The sequence below is a fragment of the Homo sapiens genome, chromosome 3 (genome assembly GCF_000001405.40).
Source record: "Homo sapiens chromosome 3, GRCh38.p14 Primary Assembly".
In the NCBI taxonomy this organism is placed as follows: domain Eukaryota; kingdom Metazoa; phylum Chordata; class Mammalia; order Primates; family Hominidae; genus Homo; species Homo sapiens.
Genome location: NC_000003.12, coordinates 98932353 through 98958108, shown reverse-complemented (window position 1 = coordinate 98958108; position 25756 = coordinate 98932353). Strand labels below are relative to the sequence as shown.

Here is a 25756-nt window from a genome sequence, read left to right as displayed (position 1 = left end):
AGTAATTATTTAACCAAAAAAATGAATATTTTCAGTATTTGACATCTTGTTCATTGTAAATTTTGATGAGTTTGCCCTCTTACTCATTTTCGTCTGCTTTTTCAGAATTTGGCAAGAGTAGACAAAATAAAAGCATGTTTTACTTTTAATTGACTTTCAAAAAGTATTTCTGCTTTGAACTGTCTTTAATGTGGAAAGTTGGAACATTCATATCAAAAGAGCCATATTGTATAAACATAATAAATATTTGTTTAGTGTAGGGGTGAGCCATGCACTCCGCCTGACCAAAGACATCAGTGTTACCCACTCTGGTGTACTGTGGGTTTTTCCAGAACTTTTTCTATAAACTTATTTTAATTTACTTGTGCAAAATAATATGAGTACACATACTGTTTGTCAACTTTTCATAATTAATTTAATATTATCTGATTGTTCCCAATAATACCTCCTAGTTTATCAAATTAGCCCTCTAATTGCTAGATTAATTTTTTTCATGATTTTACAGATGAAGAAATTGAAGGCTCAGAGAGGTTAAGCTATTTACTGCTTGTTTGACTTCTGGCAGCTTAACTTCTATAATTTGTTTCCAAGTTATGCTACGTTTTTATATGACTTGTTTCCTGTTGCAATGATGGTATTCACTAAACTGTTCCAATCTGGTATCTGTGTTCCATTTAGGTCCTTGTGTGGTGTCCAGCTAAATTTAAAATAATTCCTACTTTGAAACAACATTTTTTCCAATCAATAAGGTCAACTAGTATATATAAAAATTAATTAATAAGAAACGCATTCTCATTGTCAGAATAGTTCAAAAATGGAAGTGACAGAACCAACAGGGAGAAATTTTCCTTTATGGGAAATAATCACTAGATGGGAACATTGTAAGGAGAATTCAAACTTTAGAAAAATATTCACCTAAATGACTCTTGAACTCAAGAATGTTTATTGTTGATGAGGATGATAACATGAGTGTGAAGAAGAGAAAAAGAAAGAAGGGAAGAAGGAAAGAGGCACAATACATTATTTTATTTGTGTTTGCCACCCAGGCTGGAGTGCAGTGGTGCGATCACAGCTCACTGCAGCCCCCACGTACTGGGCTAAAGCAATTCTCCCGGATCAAGCAATCCTCCCACCTCAGCCTCCCAAGTAGCTGGGACTGCAGGTGCAAGCCACCATGTTTGGCTAATTTTTTTTTCAATTTTTTGTAGAGATGGGGTCTCCCTATTTTGCACAGGTTCCTCCCAAACTTCTGGGCTCAAGCAGTCCTCCTATCTTGGCCTCCCAAAGTGTTGGGATTACAGGTGTGAGCCACTGTACCCAGCCATAATTCTTTTTTGTTTGTTTGTTTCTTTAAGATGGAGTCTCCCTCTGTCACCAGGCTGCAGTGCCTTGGCCCGATCTCGGCTCACTGCAACCTCAGCCTCCTGGGTTCAAGCGATTCTCCTGCCTCAGCCTCCTGAGTAGCTGGGACTGCATGCGAGCACCACCACATCCAGCTAATTTTTGTATTTTTAGTAGAGACGGGGTTTCACGATGTTGGCCAGGATGGTCTCTACCTCCTGACCTCATGATCCACCCACCTCAGCCTCCCAAAGTGCTGGCATTACAGGCATGAGCGACTGCGCCCCGCCCATAATTCTTATAAATAACTATATTCTGTGTGGAATGCGATTCCCAAAAATAATGATGTTGAGCAGTCTTGTTGTAAGCAGCCTTGAAATGGAATCAAGGCTTTGCTTAGTTTGAATAAATGTTCTTTAAATATTTGTTTGCTTTTATAAATGAGGGATTTTATTGCTCCAATTTCTATAACATTGCATTATGCACATGCTTTGGAGCTAGTCAGGTATAGTTGTAAATAATTACTATATGACCTTGGGTAAGTAACTCAAACTTTTATAATCTCAGTTTACTCACCTACAAAATGGGCATAGTAATAACTGCACCTACCTCATAGTATCACTGTGATAATAAAATGAGAAGCATTTTGCACAGTGCCTGGTACACAGCATGTGAAATATTAGCACCATGTTTGCTACATAGAAAACACTTTATAAATGAGGTATATTATTAAAATTTGTTGCATTAATTAAAAGCTATCTGCCACACCTTGATCTCCCCCATAAGGCCATTTCTTTCTGATTTTCTTGAACAATGAAATTATGCTTCATATGGAACTATTTTATTGTAATATTTCCACTGCAGGATATATTATTTATTCAGTGTTCTGTAGATCCATTAAGGGATGTCTCTCTTCCAGAGTTAACTGCTGATCATTGATCAATTTTCAAAGGGTTTATTAACTTTTTTATTTTAAAAAATATAGAATCATATTTCCCTCTGAGAAATCATCACATGATATTAGATCAAAAACAGAATTTTCATAAACTCCAAACTTTTGCATTTCTAGGTAGTCAGTAAAGAAAGATGGGCAATGCAGTGTGATTTCCAGAACATTTACATTTGTAATTTAAAAGATTTTAGAAAAAATAATCATTGGAAAAAGTGCCATTGATTCTGATTTATATAGAAGTGTTTCAACATTCCTTTTTCTTTTTGTCTATAATTTAAGTTGATAATGTTTGTATTTCAGGCACTCATTCCCTCATTTTAGTTATTAAAACAAGATGGATGCACACAAGTTCAAAAATTTACTCCTGGACAAGTGTGTGCACTATTGATGCCAACTAATTCACTCAGTCTTGTTGGAGGTGGGGAATAACTGATTTTCCAGCTTAATATATTTTCCTCATAGAGGTTGAATTTATGTTGGAGGCAACTAGTAATTTCCCTCTACCGATTTTAAAAAGCACAAAGACAAGAAGACCAAATATCTCCTGTGGGTCTCTCATTCACCAGCAGACACCCTCCCTTGCCTATTCCTTGATTCTCCACTAATTTTTCGCCTAGGTCATTTTTTCTCATTCCTATAAATCCAAATGGTCTACAGACACTTCCTATGAGATCTCATCTTGACTAATCACTATATATGACTCACCCCCAGGAGTCCAACACAATTCTGGGTGTGTAGATAAATTGTTCAATAAATAAGAATTTCTAACAAAGAAACTTTGTAGTGGCAAATGTTGCATTGTAACTTGCAGCTCTCACTCTGGGCCAGCAAGGCACAAGTGTTTTCATTCATCCCATATAAAATCAGCCCTGAATGTTTGCAAGACTAGTGGGGCGGGCTCCACTTTTGTAGAAATGATTCACATACTTCTGTCATCTTGGACATGCATGTTACCCATCTGGCTTTCTTGGAGCCATTCCCCTAAATAGCTAATCCATCAAGAAAGGCACATCCAGATCAGGAGGTTTTGTTTTGATTTTAGAAAATTCTTACACCAGCTTCACACCTTACTAACAAGTTGGTCAGTGAAATCAGCACAACTGAAATGTGTCATGCTGCTTTGCACACTGAGCAGACAATTCATAAATTTAATTTCATATTTTTATTTAAAATATATAATTCTATAAATTTACAACATATGAGGGTTTATGCTGAAAACCGATGTACATTTGAAGGTACTCAACAGTTCTAAAAGAGGACACAAATAATGACTTAATGGCATTAAAGTGTAGTTGGATACCTCAAAGGAACCACAAGAATCAGCCTTTAAACAAGGAATGACAAACTGACATTTACTGCAGTGTGCTCCAAAGCTGTTTAGTATGAGGACAGGGTATACTGGCATGTAACATTCTTTTCACAGTTCATTAAATGACTTAAACTATAATAAGAACAAGATGGAATGTATGGCTATTTTGTAAGCAGAAAATTTATCCTCCAGAGAAAACAGACTGGTTAGGATGTATTTATATTGTTTTGGTCTTTTTTACATAGAGAAAAAAATATGATTTGATTTTAGATTATGTTTCTGTGATTGCCTCTAAAATGTTTTTTAAAATATTCCTTGTGCTCAAATTAATGAGAAAAAAACCGAGATGCAAATGAGCCAGGGGCTGCTCAACTTGCTGAAGTAAAGCCTGTTAACAATCCAATAGCTTTAGCTCATAATCTCACATCTCTCAAAGTGTTAAAAGAATACTAAGATTATAATTTTATTAATTTATAAACATAAATACATATGTTACAAACTAAAAATAATATTGAATGTGTTTCCTTGGTCCTGATGTTAATGCCACTTCCTTGGTGGAGATTTGATTAAAAAGCTTAACCAAGTGTTGCTAAAGAAAATATTCTGATCCTTTATGGATCTCTTTGTTTTATCATCTTAGTTTTTATGCTCATTCATTTCCTCATGGTAGACTGAAAAAATCTAATAGCAGACTATCCCTGTCCTTCTCTGCACACGGTCAATATTCAGATTTGAAGGAAAAATTTTCTGAGGGGTAAGAAGATGGTGGATAGGAGACAGGGCTAATGTGTAGCTCCCACTTGGGTGGATAGAACAGCTTGTGGAGACTCACACGTGAAATTTTGCTTTAAGAACCACCTCAGAAACATTCCAGGTATATTAGTCAGGGTTCTCTTAGAAGGACAAAACTAATAGGAGATAGATAGATGATTGATAGATAGATAGATAGAATGTAAGTTACACATGTAAAGGGGTGTTTATTATATATTAACTTACACAATCACAAGGTCCCACAATAGGCTGTCTGCAAGCTGAAGAGCAAGGAGAGCCAGTCCGAGTCCCAAAACTGAAGAACTTGGAGTCTGATGTTCAAGGGTAGGAAGCATCCAGCACAGGAGAAAGATGTAGGCTGGGAGGCTAGATCCGTCTGTCCTTTTCATTTTTTTCTGCCTGCATTATATTCACTGAAAGCTGATTAGATTGTACCCACCAGATTAAGGGTGGATCTGCCTTCCTCCAGCCCACTGACTCAAATGTTAATCTCTTTTGGCAACACTCACACAGACACACCCAGGATTAATACTTTGTATCCCTCAATCCAATCAAGTTGACATTCAGTATTAACCATTACACCAGGAAAACTGAAAAAATTCACAAATCCTTGAAAGAAGTGGCACACCACAGCAAATTCTGCAAAACAGACAAAAAACTATAAGATCCCAAAGTCTGAGAGTAGTGAAGCTGCCTCCAAACATGTATCGTCACCGGGGAATCTGAAAATCCAGATCATGGGAGAAGGATTTAACCTTACCTAGAGCTGAAACAGATCTAGAGAGCTGCATAAAATATAAAAGTAGAAGCACAGTGGGAGGAGCCTTGTAGACACTCCCAGTCTCCAGCTTGGCCCAGGGAAGCCCCCTGATGATATCTCACAGGGGCCCTCAGGGAAGGCATCCAGCAGAATAAGGGAAGGGTCACAGGGTGAAAGAAGCTTCTAACTGAACTTTGAAATAATTTCAACTGGGCACAAACTTTCTTGAGCAGAATCTGAGGAGTGGATCAGAACTGCTACAGATATGAGCAGAAGAGCCACCACCAACATTGTGGGCAGATGGGGAGCAGTGAGGCCTGAAAGCCATGCTTGCTTTCTCAGCGGGGAAGCTTACTGCCTGGGGCAGGCTGCCTGGATATAAACTTGATGCTATTAGCAGGACACTGTGGGAGTGAAACAAGCCTTGCCAACTGTGTGGGAGCTGGGTAAGGCCTTTCACTACCAGCTATCCCCAACTTCCCTGGAAAACTATATGGCACAGCAGAGGCAGCCATGATCCCTTCTGGAACATAACCCCATTGGCCTGAGAAACACCCTCCCATCTGCAACAGTGGCTGCAGCAAGCCCTGCGCAAGGAGACTCTGAGCTCAGACCCACCTAACCCTGCCCCACCTGATGGTATTTCTCTACTCACCCTAATAGCTGAACACAAAAGACATAAACTCTTCGAAGCTTATGGCCTCACTCATCACCTGAGACTACTTACCCTGGCCAACTTAGGGCAAGCTTATATCACTCTACTACTACTGCAGCTGGTGCTCTCTTGAAAGCACCAACTCCTGGCTGGAGGCAAATCAACTCAAGCCACTACAGCAACTCATTACAGAGTAACCTTGCTCCCAGGAAGGAGAAAACAGGTAATACCACTGACTCCAGCATCCTGGCTAACCAGAGGTCCTGCGTCTGTCAATGTGACAACTTCAATGCTAGCATAACCAGAATTTGAGAGAGCCAGCACACTAAACATATATACAACCAAGGATTCTCACAGAGTCTGCTTCACTCCCCTGCTACCTCCATCAGAGCAGGTACTAGTTTACACAGCTGGGAGACCTGAAGATGGATCACGTCAAAGGACTCTTTGCAGACATTCCCTAGCACCAGCTCGGATCCTGGTAGCTCCACTGGGTGGCTAGACCCAGAAGAGCATTAACAATCACTGCAGTCCAGCTCTCAGGAAGCCCCATCTCTAGGGAAAGGGGGAGCGTACCACACTGAGGGATCACCCCATGGGACAAAAGAAACTGAACAGTAGGCCTTGAGTTCCAGACCTTTCCACTGAAATAGTCTACCCAAATGAGAAGGAACTAGAAAAGAAATTCTGGTAATATGACAAAACAGCATTCTATAACACTCCCAAAAGATCACACTGGCTCCCCAGCAGTGAATTCAAACCAAGAACAAATATCTGAATTGCCAAGTATTCAGAAGGTTGATTATTAATCTACTCAAGGTGATACCAGAGAAAGGTGAAAAGCAACTTAAAGAAATTTTTAAAATTACAGGTTATGGATGAAAAATTCTCCAGAAAAGTAGATATCTTTAAGAAAAAATAATAACTTCTGGAAATGAAACACACACTTAGAAAAATACAAAATCCATTGGAAAGTTTCAACAATAGACTAGAACAAGTGGAAAGAAGTTCAGAGTTTGAAGACAAGGCTTTTATTATTATTATTATACTTTAAGTGCTAGGATACATGTGCAGAACATGCAGGTTTGTTACATAGGTATACATGTGCCATGGTGGTTTGCTGCACCCATCAACCCATCATCTACATAGTATCTCCTAATGCTATCCCTCTCCCTACCCCCGACCCCCCGACAGGCCCTGGTATGTGATGTTCCCCTCCCTGTGTTCATGTGTTCTCATTGTTCAACTCCCACTTATGAGTGAGAACATATGGTGTTTGGTTTTCTGTTCCTGTGTTAATTTGCTGAAAATGATGGTTTCCAGCTTCATCCATGTCCCTGCAAAGAACAAGAACTCATTTTTTATGGCTGCATAATATTTCATGGTGTATATGTGCCACATTTTCTTTATCCAGTCTATCATTGACGGGCATTTGAGTTGGTTCCAAGTCTTTGCTATTATGAATAATGCTGCAATAAACATACATGTGCATGTGTCTTTATAGTAGAATGATTTATAATCCTTTGGGTATATACCCAGTAATGGGATTGCTGGATCAAATGGTATTTCTAATTCTAGATCCTTGAGGAATTGCCATACTGTCTTCCACAATGGTTGACCTAATTTACACTCCCACCAACAGGGTAAAAGTGTTCCTATTTCTCCACTTCCTCTCCAGCATCTGTTGTTTCCTGACTTGTTAATGATTGTCATTCTAACTGGCGTGAGATGGTATCTCGTTGTGGTTTTAATTTGCATTTCTCTAATGACCAGTTATGATGAGCTTTTTTCATATGTTTGTTGGCTGCATAAATGGAAGACAAGGGTTTTGAATTAATCCAATCAGACAAAGACAAAGAAAAAGAATTAAAAAAATGAACAAAGCCTCCAAGAAATTTGGAATTACGTTAAATGGCCAAAACTAAGAATAACTGATTTTCCTGAGGAAGAAGAGAAATCCAAAAGTTTGGAAAGCTTATTTGAGGGAAAAAATTGAGAAAAATTTCCCTGGCCTTGCTGGAGATCTAGATATCCAAATACAAGAAGCTCAAAGAACAACTGGAAAATTCTTTGCAAAAATATCATCACCTAGGCACATAGTCATTGGGTTATCTAAAGTCAAGATGAAGGAAAGAATCTTCAGAGCTGTGAGACAAAAGCATCAGGTAACCTACTAACAAAACCTATCAGGTTAACAGCAGATTTTTCAGCACAAACCCTACAAGCCAGAAGGAATTGAGGTCCTATCTTCAGCCTCCTGAAACAAATAAATTGTTAGCCAAAAATTTTGTATACAGCAAAACTAAACTTCATAAATGGAAGAAAGACAAAGTATTTTTTCAGACAAACAAATGCTGAGAGAATTTGGCACTACCAAGTCAGCCTTATGGGAAATGATAAAAGGAGCTCTAAATCTTAAAACAAAACCTTGAAATACATCAAAATAGAACCTCCTTAAAGCATAAATCTCACAGGGCCTATAAAATGAAAAAAAAGTATTAAGGCAATGGCTAGCATGATGAATAGAACAGTAACTTACGTTAATACTAATGCTGAATGTAAATGGCCTAAATGCTCCAATTAAAAGATACAGATGGCAGAATGGGTAAAAATTTACCAACCAAGTATCTGCTGTCTTCAAGAGACTCACCTAACACATCAGAACTCACATAAACTTAAGGTAAAGGGGTGAAAAAAGATATTCCATGCAAATGGAAACCAAAAGCAAGCAGGAGTAGCTATTCTTATATCAGACAAAACAGACTTTAAAGTAACAACAGTGGCTACGCACAGTGGCTCATGCCTGTAATCTCAGCACTTTGGGAGGCCAAGACAGGTGGATCACCTGAGGTCAGGAGTTTGAGACCAGCCTGATCAACATAGTGGAACCCTGTCTTTACTAAAAATACAAAATTAGCCAGACATGCCTGTAATCCCAGCTACTTGGGAGGCTGATGGCAGGAGAATCTCTTTAACCCAGGAGGCAGAGGTTGCAGTGAGCCGAGATCGCACCATTGCACTCCAGACTGGGCAACAAGAACAAAACTCCATCTCAAAAAATTAAATAAATAAATAACAACAGTAAAAAAAAAAAAAAAAAAGACAAAGAGGGACATTATATAAGGACTTGTCCTATAGGAAAATATCACAATCCTAAATATATACACCCCTAACACTGGAACTTCTAAATTTATAAAACAATTACTACTAGACCTAAGAAATGAGATAGACAGCAACACAATAACAGTAGGAAATTTCAATAATCCACTATACTCCACTGACAGTGCTAGCCAGCTCATCAAGACAGAAAGTAAACAAAGAAACAATGGATTTAAACTACACCCTAGAACAAATGGACTTAACAGATATTTACAGAACATTCTACCCAACAACAGCAGAATATACATTCTATTCATCAACACATGGAACATTCTCCAAGATAGATCATATGATAAGCCAGAAAATGAGTCACAATAAACTTAAGGAAAGGCCAGGCATGGTGGCTCACACCTGTAATCCCAGCACTCTGGGAGGCTGAAGCGGGTAGATCACGAGGTCAGGAGATCAAGACCAGCCTGACCAAGATGGTGAAAGCATCTCTACTAAAAATACAAAAATTAGACTGGCATGGTGGCAGGCGCCTATAATCCCAGCTAATCTGGAGGCTGAGGCAGGAGAATCATTTGAACCCAGGCAGCAGAGGTTGCAGTGAGCCAAGATCATGCTACTGCACTCCAGCCTGGGCGACAGAGTGAGACTCTGTCTCAAAAAAAAAAAAAAAAAATTGAAATTTTATCAACTACTCTCTCAGACCACAGGGGAATAGAATTGGAAATCAACTCCAAAAGGAACCCTCAAAACCATGCAAATACATGGAAATTAAATAACATTCTCCTGAATGATCACTGGGTCAACAATGAAATCAAGATGGAAATTTTAAAATTCTTGTAACTGAACTATAATAGTTACACAACCTATCAAAATCTCTAGGATACAGGAAGTGCAGTAGTCAGAGGAAAGGTCACAATATTAAACACCTACATCAAAAAGTCAAAAGTACACAAATAGACAATCTAAGGTCACACCTCATGGAACTAGAGGAAAAAGAACAAATCAAACCCAAACCCAGCAGAATAAAACAAATAAAGATCATAATAGAACTAAATAAAATTGAAAGAATTGAACAAAAAAATACAAAAGATAAATTATCAAAAACTGTTCTTTGAAAAGATAAACAAAATTGATAGACTGTTAGCAAGATTAACCAAGAAAAGATGAGAGAGGATCCAAATAAGCTCAATTAGAAATGAAATTCGAGATACTACAACTGATACCACAGAAATACAAAAGATAATTCAAGGCTACTATGAATACCTTCACACATACAAACGTGAAAACCTTGAGGAGTTGGATTAATTTCTGGAAATATACTACCCTCCTAGATTAAATCAGGAAAAATAGAAACTCTGAACAGACCAATAACAAGTAGTGAGATTGAAACAGAAATTAAAAAGTTGCCAAGAACAACAACAAAAAATGCCCAGGACCAGATGGATTCACAGCTGAATTCTATCAGACATTCAAAGAAGAATTGGTATGAATCTTACTGTAACTATTCTAAAAGATACAGAAAGAGGCCATCCTCCCTAAATCATTCTATGAAGCCAGTATCACCCTAATACTAAAACCAGGAAGCGACATAACAAAAAAAGGAAAACTACAGAACGATACCCTGATGAACACAGATTCAAAAATCCTCAACAAAATACTAGCTAACTGAATCCAGAAGCATCCTGTGCTCAGAATAACTAACTGATAAACCATGGGACTGGCATCCCTTAGAAAGAGCTTTACATAATCTAGCCCTTATTATAGGAAAACTGTGGTCCTTCCTACAACCTTCTCACTTCATTCCCATACTATCTCCTAAACTCTTGGTCAAATCTTGCCTTTACTTGGATTCCTTTAATCAAAGGAATCCTTTAATCAAAGGAATCCAATCCTTCTTCAGCCTCCTTCTTGTCCTTATAACCTGAGAATGGATTTGACTTTTTTATTTTGAGCTCTGGAACTCTTATTTCTTGAGATACATTTGTTCTGGCTCCATCTTATTCCAACCACCCCAGGGAAGAGCACTGGCATTAGTTAGCTTAACTGACTTCCTGTTAGGAGGCAGAAGAATCCATCCTATTTCATACCTCCTGCTCCATACCAGGGTTTATACACCAGACTCTTAGGCATTCTCCTAAATTGAGATTGTCCTTTTCCAGTCCATTCTCCATCACTTTGCTACTGCCATCCTAAAACACTTTAACATCTGCATTAATCTGTTCTCACACTGCTATAAAGAAATAACTGGGTAATTTATAAAGAAAAGAGGTTTAATTGGCTCATGGTTCTGCAGGCTATACAAGAACCATAGCAGCTCCTGCTTTTGGGGAGGCCTCAGGAAGCTTCCAATCATGGTGTAAGGCAAAGAGGGAGCAGGTGTCTCACATAGCAGGAGCAGAAGCAAGAGAGAGAGCAGAGAGGTGCTACACACTTTTAAATGGCCAAATTTAATGAGAACTCACTCACTGTTGTAAGAACAGTACCAACAGGGATGGTGATAAACCGTTCATGAGAAAACCACCCCCACGATCCAGCTACCTCCCACCAGGCCCTATCTCCAACACTAGGGATTACAATTTGACATGAGATTTGGTGGGGACACATGCTCAAACTATATCAACATCTCATTAAAACTTCTCATAATTCCATACCACTATAAAATGTAGTACAAACTCCTAAGCCTATGACCTAACTTTACCCACTCAGCTACTTCTTACAACTCCTTTGTCCTAGCCACAGTGGTCTTTTCACTGTCTCTTAGAACATATCCACCTGGTCCTACCTCCCACTTTGTATGCTGGCTTCGCCACCCTCTTAAATTTTACCCAGCATTTTATTCCTAGCTCAAGCTCACCTCCTTCATGAAACTTCTAATGCCTGTTCCATGTTGTTCTACCCCTATTTAAATACACCTAGAAAAGTTTGGAGATTGCAAGGGTTTGCTGTGTGTATTACTCATTGCAGTAATTAACAAAATATAATTATGTGATTATACATGTTTATCTAATGTATAATGGGAATTTTAGTTTTCCTAACAGTATATTTCATGAAGATAAGAACTATATCTTCAAATTATTTAAACTGTTTATAATATTAACAAATAAATACTTATTGAAAAAAGATCCCAATAATTCAAATGACTTTCAAGATTGTCATTCTAGTCATCACATGGGTTGAAGACAAAGAATATACTAGGTTATCTCATAAAATGTTTTCTATCTATGTATTTCTCAGATAGCCTGAGGTGGTTGTTTATGGAAGCTATAATTACAATTCTTGTTTCCAAACAACCAGATGGATTAATATCTCAAGGCATCTGTTAAATTTCTCATTTTGCATGGGCTTTTAATTGCCATGAGTAATTTGTTTTGAGTCACACAGATTGCTTTCTTTTTGAATATTTCTAAACCGAGCTCTAATTAAGAGGAAGAAGAGCAGAATGATTAAGATTTGCATTTAAATCCAGCTCTGCCCAATTATGAGCTGCTTAATTCTTAAGCAAGTAGCTTAACCTCACTGTCTTTATTACTTTATCTGTAAAATGGAAACATTAATAATAAGTGATGTATACTATTAGGTAGTATTAAGCAGTACTTATATATAGTAAACATAAAACACATGTTAGATCTTATAGTTATTAATCATTTCTCTCTAGGCAAAGAATCAAACATAAAAAGACAACATATGAGCTTTAATATAATTCCTTTTCTGGAACAGTCATAGCTGTTATCGCTATTTTTCATAGTCTAATCTGATTCACAATTTTGGAGCAGACTAAGGATAATGAGCTTGATTCTTTTCTTAGTCACAGACAGGGAAGGAAGTGAATTTTCCTCACCCACATGGTTCCAAAGCACAGAGACAAATGGAGCCAAGCAAAGAGATAAGATGAGAGCAGAGAAGATGGTTTTCTGGCATTCTCTTGGAGGTTCCCCTCTCAGTGTTGTGTTCAAACTTACAAATAAAACATTGAGCAGATCAAGCACCAATATTTCTCATTCTTGCCATCTGATTTGATTGTGCTTTTATCTAATCAAACTAGCATGTTGGCCAACTGAATTTAATGAATTTGGCATAACTGACTAGTTGCTTTTGCCCTGAGTTCATTCAGCCACATAGTAGAATAACCACAAACTTGTCAAGATAAAAACTAGTTACTTAAAGCCAAATTTTTAGCCAATGTTTTAGCAACCTGAGTATTCTCTGTAACTCCACTCAAAAAATAAGAATTAATATTTTAAATGTTTTTAAAAATGCGTTCATTGTTAGGCATGGTGGCTCATGCCTGTAATCCCAGCACTTTCGGAGGCCAAAGTGAGTGGATCACTTGAGATCAGGAGTTCAAGACCAGCCTGGCCAACATGGTGAAACGGCATCTTTACTAAAAATACAAAAATTAGCCGGGCATGGTGGCGCATGCCTGTATTCCCAGCTACTCAGGAGGCTGAGGCAGGAGAATCACTTGAACCTGTAGTCCCAGCTACTCAGGAGGGTAAGGCAGGAGAATCACTTGAACCTGGAAGGCAAAGGTTGCAGTGAGCGGAGATTGCACCACTGTAATCCAGACTGGGCAACACATTGAGACTATGTCTCAAAAAAAATAAAATAAAATGCATTCATTATTATTAATTATATTCAATTGAAAGAACACTAATTTGTCATGAAAATATATCATAATCATCATGCTAGTATTTGTCCTATGCGTCATAAGACCACAGTGGAAACAATATAGAATGAAGAAAAATAAAAGTCTGAACAATAAACGCAGACACTGAGACCCTGAGAATGTTTAATGTTGAGAAAGTTATTTAAAAAAAAAAAAAAAGCTTTTTCCAAACATATTCACATAGACCACCACATATATTTGCATTCCAGGTCGGCCACTTATCTCACCTGTGTCTTTATCATCATCCCTTCACCCTATATTACTTACTTACAGCTTCTCATAAATCAGCAGGAATACATCACTAATAATCAGTTTTTCTTGATTTAAATCAAACATTTTAATGAAGTGCTTGGAAGTACATCAGTACCTAATTCCTGCAGTGTAATATTTTCCTTTCCAAAATATGTCTGAATTACAAATTTTGTTAAACTCCCATCAAATAGGCCTAAAGGAATTGTAATACTCTGCAGACATTTGGAAATGCTAGGATTTAGTTCATTTTACTTAATATTGACTTTACAAAGCTCCAGGAGGCCTATTTCTATTACCAGCTCAGTCACTAGCTTAGTTGTGTGACCTTGAGCAAGTCATCTAACCTCTCTGAATCTCAGACTTTTTAAAAATCTGTAAAACAAAGTGGCTAAATCAAATAATTTTTAAACTCCTTCCTAATTTATGTCCTTATCTTTTACACAGGATATTTAAGATCTCCAACTCATATGGTATATTGCTTCTATAAATTGGGATTATATCTCATCTATCCTTTTGCTATTATCCTAGCTGCAGAGTTTGAGATGGGAAGATGAAAACATTCCACTCAGATGTGTTTTATCTGGAAAAAGCTCTACTTCATAGAAATGACAACCAATAAGACAACTTGATAATTAAGGATAAAACACCAGAATGGATAAACACCAAGTTAAATATTAACAATACGCCATACCTTCTTGAAAGGAAACGGAACAGTTATGAAACTTCATGCATAAACTGATCCTGTAGCTGAAAATTTGTTTTTAATCACATATATTAAAATTCAAAGTTATTTTATTATAAAGACAGGTGAGGAGTTTGGTGGAATCAGGAATAGCAGTTAAAGCAATTCTCATGTTGCTGAAATGTAGCCAAGAAGAATATCTGTAATAGAGGTTTTCTCCAAGAACACTGTGACATACTTGCATTATGAACTCTCAGGGATTTAGATGAGGGCATGTGGCTTCACCTTCTAATGCTGAAAGGAGAGAGGTGCCTGGTGCACCAAAGTAGAGACTGGGTCTTATGTGATGCCTCTACCATGGGAATAAGCAAAAGTTTAAATTTAAAGAAACTAGTCTGTTTAGTGAAAATCAGTCCAAGGGCCTAAAAGAAGGCTAAGCGGTGACTTTAAAGAAGTGCAGTGCACTCTCCTTCTTGCCATTTCTGTTTCCTTTCGAGTATTTTGCCTAGAACCTTGACTTGGCAGAGTTATCACAAAATGGCAGTGCTACACCTGAAATAACGAGCCGGCTGTACACCAGAACTGTTTATTCTTCCACTCTGTCTGTCCGAAGAGAACGTGACCAAACAAATCTGGACACATGGGAACCAGCAATCTTTGTTTTTAACAAAAGCTCTTCATATGTTTATGACGCACACTAAAGTTTGAAAGTGGCTCACGCCTGTAATCCCAGCACTTTGGGAGGCCAAGGCGGGCGGATCACAAGGTCAGGAGATCGAGACCATCCTGGCTAACACAGTGAAACCCCGTCTCTACTAAAAATACAAAAAATTAGCCGGGCATGGTGGCGGGCGCCTGTAGTCCTAGCTACTCGGGAGGCTGAGGCAGGAGAATGGCGTGAACCCGGGAAGCGGAGCCTGCAGTGAACCAAGATAGCGCCACTGCACTCCAGCCTAGGCGACAGAGCGAGACTCCGTCTCAAAAAAAAAAAAAAAAAAAAAAAAAAAAACAACTGAGATTTCATAGTTTCGCTATGCTTCTTCCTTACCCCCACCTGAAAAAGTAAAAGGCTTAAATTCACTAGAAATATTAGATCCAGTTTCTAATTTCAGTTGCTTCTATTTTATTGAAGGAATCAGCAAGATCTGACACACCTTGATTTTTTTTATCATTATTAAAATCCTCTAACTCTGAAATTCATTTCGATTAAAATCTAGACATTCAAGTATCAATTGAATAGAATAGGTCAATAAATATCTGTTGATCTGAGCAACCTTATCTTTCAATCTCTGAATTAAAGAGAAATGTGGTATTAACAAATTTACTCTTTCATATTTAGAAGAACCCTAGCAATATGTCACCTCAGATATAAAAAGAAGGAAAATCTCTTCATGTGTTTTCTTCTTTGCTTAGCTAAAAGCAGGAGTAACGCTCCAAAAATTATAACTTCCAAACAGATGACAAGAGAGCTATGTGTAACAAAAATAAAATTTTATTTTTCACCAATACTATAAAGACTAAAAAGAATAATGTATAAGTAAGACTAAATTTAGCTGCAAGTAGATTAAACAAGTTAGAAATATATTTCTCTGTCAGTATTCTAGGGACAGAGAGTTCAAAGTTCATAGTACAGGTTCAGGTGTCATGGACTTAGGTCCTTTCTCTCTGTGGAAACCATGGTCCAAAATGGCTGTTGGATCATCAGATACATTTACATTTTGAGTAGCAGAGACAAATATGGAGGAAAGAGGACATGTCATTCACTTAGAGAAAACATTCCAGAAACTGCACAGATCACTTCTTTGTAGATCTGATTGCTAAAGCTTGGTTATATTGCCACATCTAGCTACAAGAGATGCAAAGAAGAAATCTTTATTGCAAGCCGCCTTGTGTCCAGCTAAGGAAAGAAGAGGGGGAAAAACGGCTACTGAAATTCAACCACAAATGATAATACCCAGTCCTGGCCAAAGTGTGAGAAAACGGGCACTTTCTTTTTTAACATTGCTGTAGGAATGTAAATTGCTATAGTGTTTCTACGGACACTTGACAATATGCATCAAACACTTCAAAACATGACCCCAACACTTTAAGGAAGTTATCCTTTAAAAAAAGAAAACAAATAGATATACTATTAGTCAAGGCTCTCCAGAGAAACAGAACCAATAGAAGATACTTATTAATTATTTAATAATTATTATAAATAATTCACTCATGCAGTTAGGGAAGCTGAGAAGTCTCAATATCCACAATCCAAAGACTTCAGAACCCAGGGAGTCCATGATGTAAATTCCAGTCCAAGTCCAAGTGTACAGGCAGGAGAAGACCTATGATGTCCCAGCACAAAGACAGGGAGGAGGAGAGAATTAATTCTTTTTTTCTCAGTCTTTTGTTCTTTCAGGCCTTCAATGGACTGGATAAGGTCCACCCACATTGGGGAGGACCATCTCCTTTATTCAGTCCATGGAGTCAAATGTTAATCTCATCCACAGACAGCCTTAAAGAGAGACAGACTCAGAGTAAGATTTAACCAAATATCTGAGCACTCTTTGGCCGTCAAGTTGACACATAAAATTAACCATCACAGATACATATTACTATAATATTTACCATAGTGGTTTTTAGTTGTGGTAAAATACACGAAAATGGTTAGATAATACATTTTATAAGTGTAGAGTAGTGTTAAGTACATTCACATTGTTGTGCAACCAATCTCCAGAACTTTTATCATTTTGTAATACTAAAACTCTATGCTCATTAAACAACAACTCTGCATTTCCCCTCCCTCTTCTTCCTGGCAACCACTATTCTTTGTTCTGTCTCTATGAATTTGACTACTATAGATAACTCATATGAGTAAAATCACACAATATTTTTTCTTTTTTCTGGCTATTTCATTTAGCATAATGTCTCTGGGTTTATCCATGTTATAGCATGTATTAGAATTTTCTTCCTTTTTAAGGCTGAGTAATATTCCATTTTATGTATATAACACATTTTGTTTATCTATTTGTCAATGGACACTTAGGTTGCTTCCACTCTTTGGCTATTGTGAATAACGCTGCTATGAACATGGATGCATACCATGGTGATTTTAAGACCATAGGTTTTGCTCTTACTACTATTGGTGGGAATATACATTGCTATAAAATGACAAAAGTTAAATATTAATGTAATTATTTCTATTAAATATACATTTATTATCTGTAATGATTAACCCAAGAGTAGCCATTTGTTTAGATGTGACCATGATCACTCAAACACATCTGGCCAATTATATCTGTCAGCATCCTATCAGGAATGTGTATAAGGATTTATGTATTTTGCAGGGAATTGGGTTAAATCACCTTCTACTTATGAGATCCTATGAAACTCTTTCTCAGAGAAAGTTACAGCTTGAGCCCGAAGATTATATGAGCATAGAAGTCATATAGTATTAGAGCTGAAAGTAATTTTAATAGTAAACCAGGAAAATGGCTTATTTTTAAAATGAAGATGCTGAATCTGAAGAAAATTAATGAATTTCCCAAAGTCAAGGTAATTTGCATTAGTTCTAGGACCTCTAAATTATATTTGAATGATTTATGGATATGAAAACTGGCTATAGTAAAGAATCTCTAAATTACAGGAACCAACCTGAACTTCATCTACATTTCTACAGAAACTTATACTAGATCTTCCATATTTTTATGTGATAATTTTATACTTGCAATGATTTTTTAAGATTTAAAAATTATTTTAAAATTTATATACAGAAAAATTGATCTTTTTAGGTGGAGTTGTATAGGTTTTAACACATGTGTAGATTTGTGACCATCATTGGGACCACAGTCAGGATACAGAACAGTTCCATCACACCAAAAACCTCTGTACTTTCTCTTTCATAGTCAAACCATATGCCATTCCCTAGATCCTGGCAATCACTCATGTGTTTATATCCATATAGTTTGCTTTTTCTAGAATGTGATATGAGTAAACTCATAAATGTGTTATATTTTATAACTGGCATTTTCACTCAGCATGGCTTTGAGATTCATCATGTTGTTACAGCAATAGTTCATTCCTTTTTATGTTGAGTAGTATTCCATTGTATTGATGTAGCTCAGTTAATCTATTCACCTGTTTAAAGGCATCTGGGTTATTTCCCAATTTGGAGTGATTGTGAATACAACTGCTATAAACATTGAGGTACAGGTTTTTTGTGTAAATGTAAGCTTTTACTTTCATATGTGTTTGCATAAACATAAGTTTTCATTTCTCTCATCCCTAGGAGTGAGATTCCTAGGTCATATAGTAAACATATATTTAACTTCTTAAGAAACTGCAAAACTCTCTTTCAAAGTGGCTGTGCCATTTGACATTCTGAGCAATGTGTATGAAAGTTCTAATTGTTCTGCATCCTTGTCAGCACTTGAAATTGTTTATTGTTTTTTAAAAATAGCGGTCTTTCTAATATATGTGTAGCTGGATTCCATTGTGGATTTAATTTGGATTATCCTAATGGCTAGTGATACTGACATTTTTCTTGTGGTTATTTGTCATCTATATATCTTTGTTAAAATATCTGTTCACATATTTTGTTAATTTTTAAATTGAGTTGTTTTCTTATTGTTGAGTTTGGAGTATTATTGGATGTTAGATATGTAATTTGCAAATATTTTCTTCCAGATTGTATCTTGTCTTTTCATTCTCTTAATGGTGTCTTTCACAAAGCAGAAGTTTTTAATTGTTTGGAATCCAATTTATCAATATTTTCTTTTAGAATTAATGCTCCTCTTCTTCTCTTTCTCTTCTCCTTCTCATTCTCCTTCCTGTTCTTCTTATTCTTGTTCCTCTTGTTCCAGGGGTACACGTGCAGGTTTGTTTGTCGTATGGGTAAATTGCGTGTTACTGAAGCTTGGTGTATAAATGATCTTGTCACCCAAGTAGTGAGCATAGTACTCGATAGGTAGCCTTCCAACCTGTGCCCCCAACCCACCTTCCCCTCTCGAGCAGTCCCTAGTGTCTATTATTCACATCTTTGTATTCATATGTATTCAATGTTTAGCTCTCACTTATAAGTGAAAACATGTAGTATTTGGTTTTCTGTTCCTGTGTTAGTTCACTTAGCGTAACGGCCTCCAGCTGCATATGTGTTGCTGCAAAGGACATGATTTTGTTCTTTTTTATGGCTGTGTAGTATTTCGTGGTATATATGTACCACATTTTCTTTATCCAGTCTACCATTGATGGGCATCTTAGTTGATTCCATGTCTTTGCTATTGTGAATAGTGCTGTGATGAACATATGAGTGCAAGTGTCTTTTTGGTAGAATGATTTATTTTCCTTTGGGTATATAGCCAGTAGTGGGATGGCTGGGTCAAACAGTAATTCTGTTTTCAGTTCTTTGAGAAACTGCCTAAGTGATTTCCATAGTGGCTGAACGAATTTATATTCTCACCAGCAGTGTATAAGTGTTCCCATTTTTCTGCAACCTGGCCAGCATCTGTTGTATGACTTTTTGATAATAGCTGTTCTAAATGGTATAAGATGGTGTCTCATTGTGGTTTTGATTTGCATTCCTCTAATAATTAGTGATGATTAGCATTTTTCATATATTTATTGATTATATGTATGTCTTGAGAAGTGTCTGTTCATGTTCTTTGCCCATTTTTAATAAAGTTATTTCATTTTTGTTTCTTGAATTGCTTAAGTACTTTATATTAGATATTAGACCTTTGTTAGATGCATAGTTTGTGAATATTTTCTCCCATTTTGTTGGTCATTTACTCTGTTGGTAGTTTTTTTTTTTTTTTTTTTTTAGTGTGCAGATGCTCTTTAGTTTAATCAGGCCCCACTTGTCAATTTTTGTTTTTGTTGCAATTGCTTTTGGGGACTTAATCATAAATTATTTGCCAAGGTTGATGTCCAGAATGGTATTTACTAGATTTTCTTTTAGAGTTTTTATTGTTTTAGGTTTTACATTTAAGTATTTATTCCATCTTGAGTTACTTTTTGTAAATAGTGAAAGGAAGAGGTCTAGTTTCAATCTTATACATATGGTTAACCCAGTTATCCCAGCACTATTCATTAAATAGGGAGTCCTTTCCCCATTATTTGTTGTTAACTTTGTCAGAGATCATGTGGTTTTTAGTGTATGGATTTATTAATATTTGAGTTTTCTATCCTGTTCAATTGGTCTATGTGTCTGTTATTGTACCACTACCATGCTAGTTTGGTTACTGTAGCCCTGTAGTATACTTTAAAGTTGGATAATGTGATGTCTTTGGCTTTGTTCTGCTTAGGATTGCTTTGGTGATTCAGGCTCTTTTTTGGTTCCATGTGAATTTTAGTTTTTTCTAATTCTGTTAAAATGGTTTTGGTAGTTTGATGGGAGTAGCACTGAATCTATAAATTGCTTTGGACAGTATGGCCATTTTAACAATATTGATTTTTTCCTCTCCATGAGCATGGAATGTTTTTCCATTTGTGTATTTCCTGATTTCTGTCAGCATCATTTTGTAATTCTTGTTGTAGAGACTTTTCACCTCCTTGGTTAGAGGTATTCTGAGGTATTTTCTCCTTTTTGTGGCTATTGTGAATGGAATTGCATTCTTGATTAGGATCTCAATGTGGATGTTATTAGTATATAGAAATGCTACTAATTTTTGTATACTGACTTTTGTATCCTGAAACTTTACTAAAGTTCTTTATCATATCTAGGATCCTTCTGGTAAAGTCTATGGGGTTTTTGGCATAGAATCTTATCATCAGTGATAGTTTGACTTCCTCACTTCGTATTTGGATGCCTTTTCTTTCTTTCTCTTGCCTGATTGCTCCTGCTAGGACTTTCAGTGCTATATTGAACAGGAGTGGTGAGAGCGGGCATCCTTGTTTTGTTCCAGTTCTCAAGGGAGAATGCTTCCAGATTTCACCCATTCAGTGATGTTGGCTGTGAGTTTGTCATAGACTGCTCTTACCACTTTGAGGTATATTTCTTCAATGCCCAATTTGCCGAGAGTTATTAACATGAAGGATGTTGAATTTTATCAAATGCTTTTTCTGCATCCAGTGATATGATCATGTGGTTTTTGTTTTTAGTTCTGTTTATGTGGTGCATCACATTTATTGATTTGCATATGTTGAATCAATCTTACATCCCAGGATTAAAGCCTACATAATAGTAGTGAATTAACTTTTTGATGTGCTGCTGGATTCAGTTTGCTAGTATTTTGTTGAGGATTTTTACTTCTATGTTCATCAGGGATATTGGCCTGAAGTTTTCTTTTATCATTGTGTCTTTGCTGGATTTGGTAGCAGGATGATTTTAGCATCATAGAAAGTGTTAGGTAGGAGTCCCTCCTCTTCCTCGATGTTTTGGAATAGTTTCAGCAGAATTGTTAACTGCTCTCCTTTTGTATCTCAGGTAAAATTCAGCTGTGAATCTGTCTGGTCCAGGGCTTTTTTTTTTTTGGTTGGTAGGCTTTTTATAACTCATTCAGTTTTGGAACTTGTTATCAGCCTGTTCAGCATTTTAATTTCTTTCTGGTTCAATCTTGGGAGGTTGTGTGTTTCCAATAGTTTATTTCTTCTAAGTTTTCTAGTTTGTATGCATGGAGGTTTTCATAATAGTCTCTGAGGATATTTTTGTGTTTCTGCAGGTTTGTTTTTATGGTCACTTTTGTCTTTTCTGAGTGTGTTCTCTCTTTTTGTCTTCATTAATCGAACTAGCCATCTATCGATCGTGTTTAATGTTTAGAAGAACCAACTTTTGGGTTTATTGATCTTTTATATAAATTTTTGCATTTCAATTTTATTGAGTTCAGCTCTGATTTTTGTTATTTCTTATATTCTGCTTGCTTTGGGGTTGGTTTGTTCTTGTTTTTCTTGTTCCTGAAATTGGTAGGTGCAATACCAGGTTGTTTATTTGAGATCTTTGTAACTTCTTAATGTAGATGTTTAGAGCTATAAACTTTCTTCTTAACACAGTGTTATCTGTGTCCCAAATAGTCTGATATATTGTGTCTATTTTCATTAGTTTCCAAAAATGTTTTGATTTCTTCCTCAATTTTGTTCTTTACCCAAAAGTCATTTAGGAGCAGGTTGTTTAACTTCCAAATAATTGTATAGTTTTAATAGATCTTCTTAGTATTGATCTCTATTTTTATTCAGCTGTGATCCAAGACTGTAGTTGGTATGATTTCAGTGTTTTTTTTTAATTTGTTGATACTTGCTTTATGGCTGACCATATGGTCAATCTTAAAGTATGTGCCATGTGCAGGTAAGAAGAATGTATATTCTGTTGTTGTTGGGTGGAGTGTTCTGTAAATGTCCAGGTCCAACTGGTCAATGTTGAGTTTAAGTTCCAAATATCTTTGTTAGTTTTCTGCCTCAATGATCTGTCTGACGCTGTCAGTGGGGTATTGAAATTCCCCACTATTATTGTGTGTTTGTCTAAATCCTTTTGTAGATCTCTAAGAACTTGTTTTATAAATCTGATTGCTCTAATATTGGGTGTGTATATATTTAGGCTAGTAAAATCTTCTTGTTGTATTGAACCCTTTATATTTTTGCAATATTCTTCTTTGTCCTTTTTGATCATTGTTGGCTTAAAGCCTGTTTTATCTGATATAAGAATAGCAATGCCTGCTCTATTTTGTTTTCAGTTTGCCTGATAGATCTTTCTCCATCCCTTTACTTTGAGTCTATGGGTGTTGTTACTTGTGAGATGAGCCTCTTGAATACAGCAGACAGTTGGGTCTTGCTTCTTTACTCAACTTGCCGCTCTATGCCTTTTAAATTAGGCATTTAGCCAATTTACACTTAAGGTCAATATTGATATGTGAGGATTTGATTCTGTCATCATGCTGTTAGCTGGTTTTTATGTAGACTTGATTGCCTAATTCCTTTGTAGTGCCAATGGGCTATGTACTTAAGGGTGTTTTGTGGTGGCACGTATTGTTCTTTAATTTCTGTTTAGCACTCCCTTTAGGACTTCTTATCAGGCAGGTCTAGTGGTAATGAAGTCCCTTAGCATTTGCTTGTCTGAAAAGGACTTCATTTCTCCTTTACTTATGAAGCTTAGTTTGGCCAAATATGAAATTCATCTGCAAACAAAGATAATTTTACTTCCTCTTTTCCTATTTGAATCTTCTTAATTTCTTTCTCTTCTTTGATTGCCCTGGCCAGAACTCCCAATACTATGTTGAATAGGAGTAGTGAGAGAGGGCATCATGGTCTTTTGCCAGTCTTCAAGGAAATGCTTCCAGCTTTTGCACATTCAGTGTGATATTGGCCTTCAGTTTGTCATATATGATCTTATTATTTTGAGGTATGTTCCCTTAATACCTAGTTTATTGAGAGTTTTTAACATGAAAGGATGTTACATTTTATCAAAGCCCTTTTCTGCATCTATTGAGATGATCATGTGGTTTCTGTCTTGAGTTCAGTCTATGTGATATATCACATTTATTGATTTGCATATGTTAAACCAAACTTGCATCCCAGGAATGAAGCCTACTTGATCGTAGTGGATAAGCTTTTTGATGTGCTGCTGGATTCGGTTTGCCAGTATTTTATTGAGGATTTTTGCATCGATGTTCATCAAGGATATTGGCCTAAAGTTTTCTTTTTTTTGTTGTATGTCTGCCAGGTTTTGGTATCAGGATGATGCTGGCCTCATAGAATGAGTTAGGGAGGAGTGCCTCTTTTTCAATTCTTTGGAATAGTTTCAGTAGAAATGGTACCAGCTTTTCTTTGTACCTCTAGTAGAATTCAGCTGTGAATCCATCTGGCCCTGTGCTTTTTTGGTTGGTAGGGTATTTATTACTGCCGCAATTTCAGAACTCAATATTGGTCTATTTGGGGATTCAGTTTCTTTCCGGCTCAATCTTGGGAGGGTGTACGTGTCTGGTATTTATTCATTTCTCTTAGATTTTTTAGTTTCTGTGCATAGAGGTATTTATAGTATTCTCTGATGGTTGTTATTATTTCTGTGGGGTCAGTGGTGATATTCCCTTTATCATTTCTGATTGTATTTATTTGAATAATCTCTCTTTTTTCTTTATTAGTCTAGCTAGTGGCAATTTCTTTTATTAATTTTTTCAAAAAAACACCTCCAGGATTTGTTGATTTTTTGAAGGGATTTTTTTGTGTCTCTATCTCATTCAGTTCATCTCTGATCGTGGTTATTTCTTGCCTTCTGCTAGCTTTGGGGTTTGTTTGCTGTTGGTTTTTTAGCTCATTTAGTTGTGATGTTAGGTTGTTAACTAGACCTCTTTCTAGCTTTTGATGTGGGCACTTAGTGCTATAAATTTCCCTCTTAACACTGCTAGGAAGAATCAATATCATGAAAATGGCCATACTGCCCAAGGTAATTTACAGATTCAATGCCATCCCCATCAAGCTACCAATGACTTTCTTCGCAGAACTGGAAAAAAAACTACTTTAAAGTTCATATGGAACCAAAAAAGAGCCCACATTACCAAGTCAATCCTAAGCCAAATGAACAAAGCTGGAGGCATCACGCTACCTGACTTCAAACTATACTACATGGCTACAGTAACCAAAACAGCATGGTACTGGGACCAAAACAGAGATACAGACCAGTGGAACAGAACAGAGCCCTCAGAAATAATACCACACATCTACAACTATCTGATCTTTGACAAACCTGACAAAAACAAGAAATGGGGAAAGGATTCCCTGTTTAACAAATGGTGCTGGGAAAACTGGCTAGCCATAAGTAGAAAGCTGAAACTGGATCCCTTCCTTACACCTTATACAAAAATTAATTCAAGATGGATTAAAGACTTAAATTTTAGACCTAAAACCATAAAAACCCTAGAAGAAAACCGAGGCAATACCATTCAGGACACAGGCATGGACTTCATGTCTAAAACACCAAAAGCAATGGCAACAAAAGCCAAAACTGACAAATGGGATCTAATTAAACTAAAGAGCTTCTGCACAGCAAAAGAAACTACCATCAGAGTGAGCAGGCAACCTACAGAATGGGAGAACATTTTTGCAATCTACTCATCTGACAAAGGGCTAATATCCAGAATCTACAAAGAACTCAAACAAATTTACAAGAAACAACAAACAACCCCATCAATAAGTGGGCGAAGGATATGAACAGACACTTCTCAAAAGAAGACATTTATGCAGCCAAAAGACACATGAAAAAATGCTCATCATCACTGGCCATCAGAGAAATACAAATCAAAACCACAATGAGATACCATCTGACACCAGTTAGAATGGTGATCATTAAAAAGTC

The 25756-nt window shown here is 36.7% G+C and overlaps 1 long non-coding RNA gene across 3 annotated transcripts in view; it reads right to left on the bottom strand.

Moving 5' to 3' along the window:
* LINC00973 (long intergenic non-protein coding RNA 973) overlaps window positions 1-25756 on the bottom strand; it is an 84276-nt gene that overhangs the window by 40733 nt on the left and 17787 nt on the right. For 2 of the 3 annotated variants that reach the window (NR_186667.1, NR_186666.1), the window contains exon 1: window positions 4599-4754. The exons of the other annotated variant lie outside the window; for it this stretch is intronic. This is a non-coding gene — a long non-coding RNA (long intergenic non-protein coding RNA 973). Of the gene's footprint in view, window positions 1-4598; window positions 4755-25756 lie in introns of those variants that run through there. 3 annotated transcript variants of the gene reach the window in all.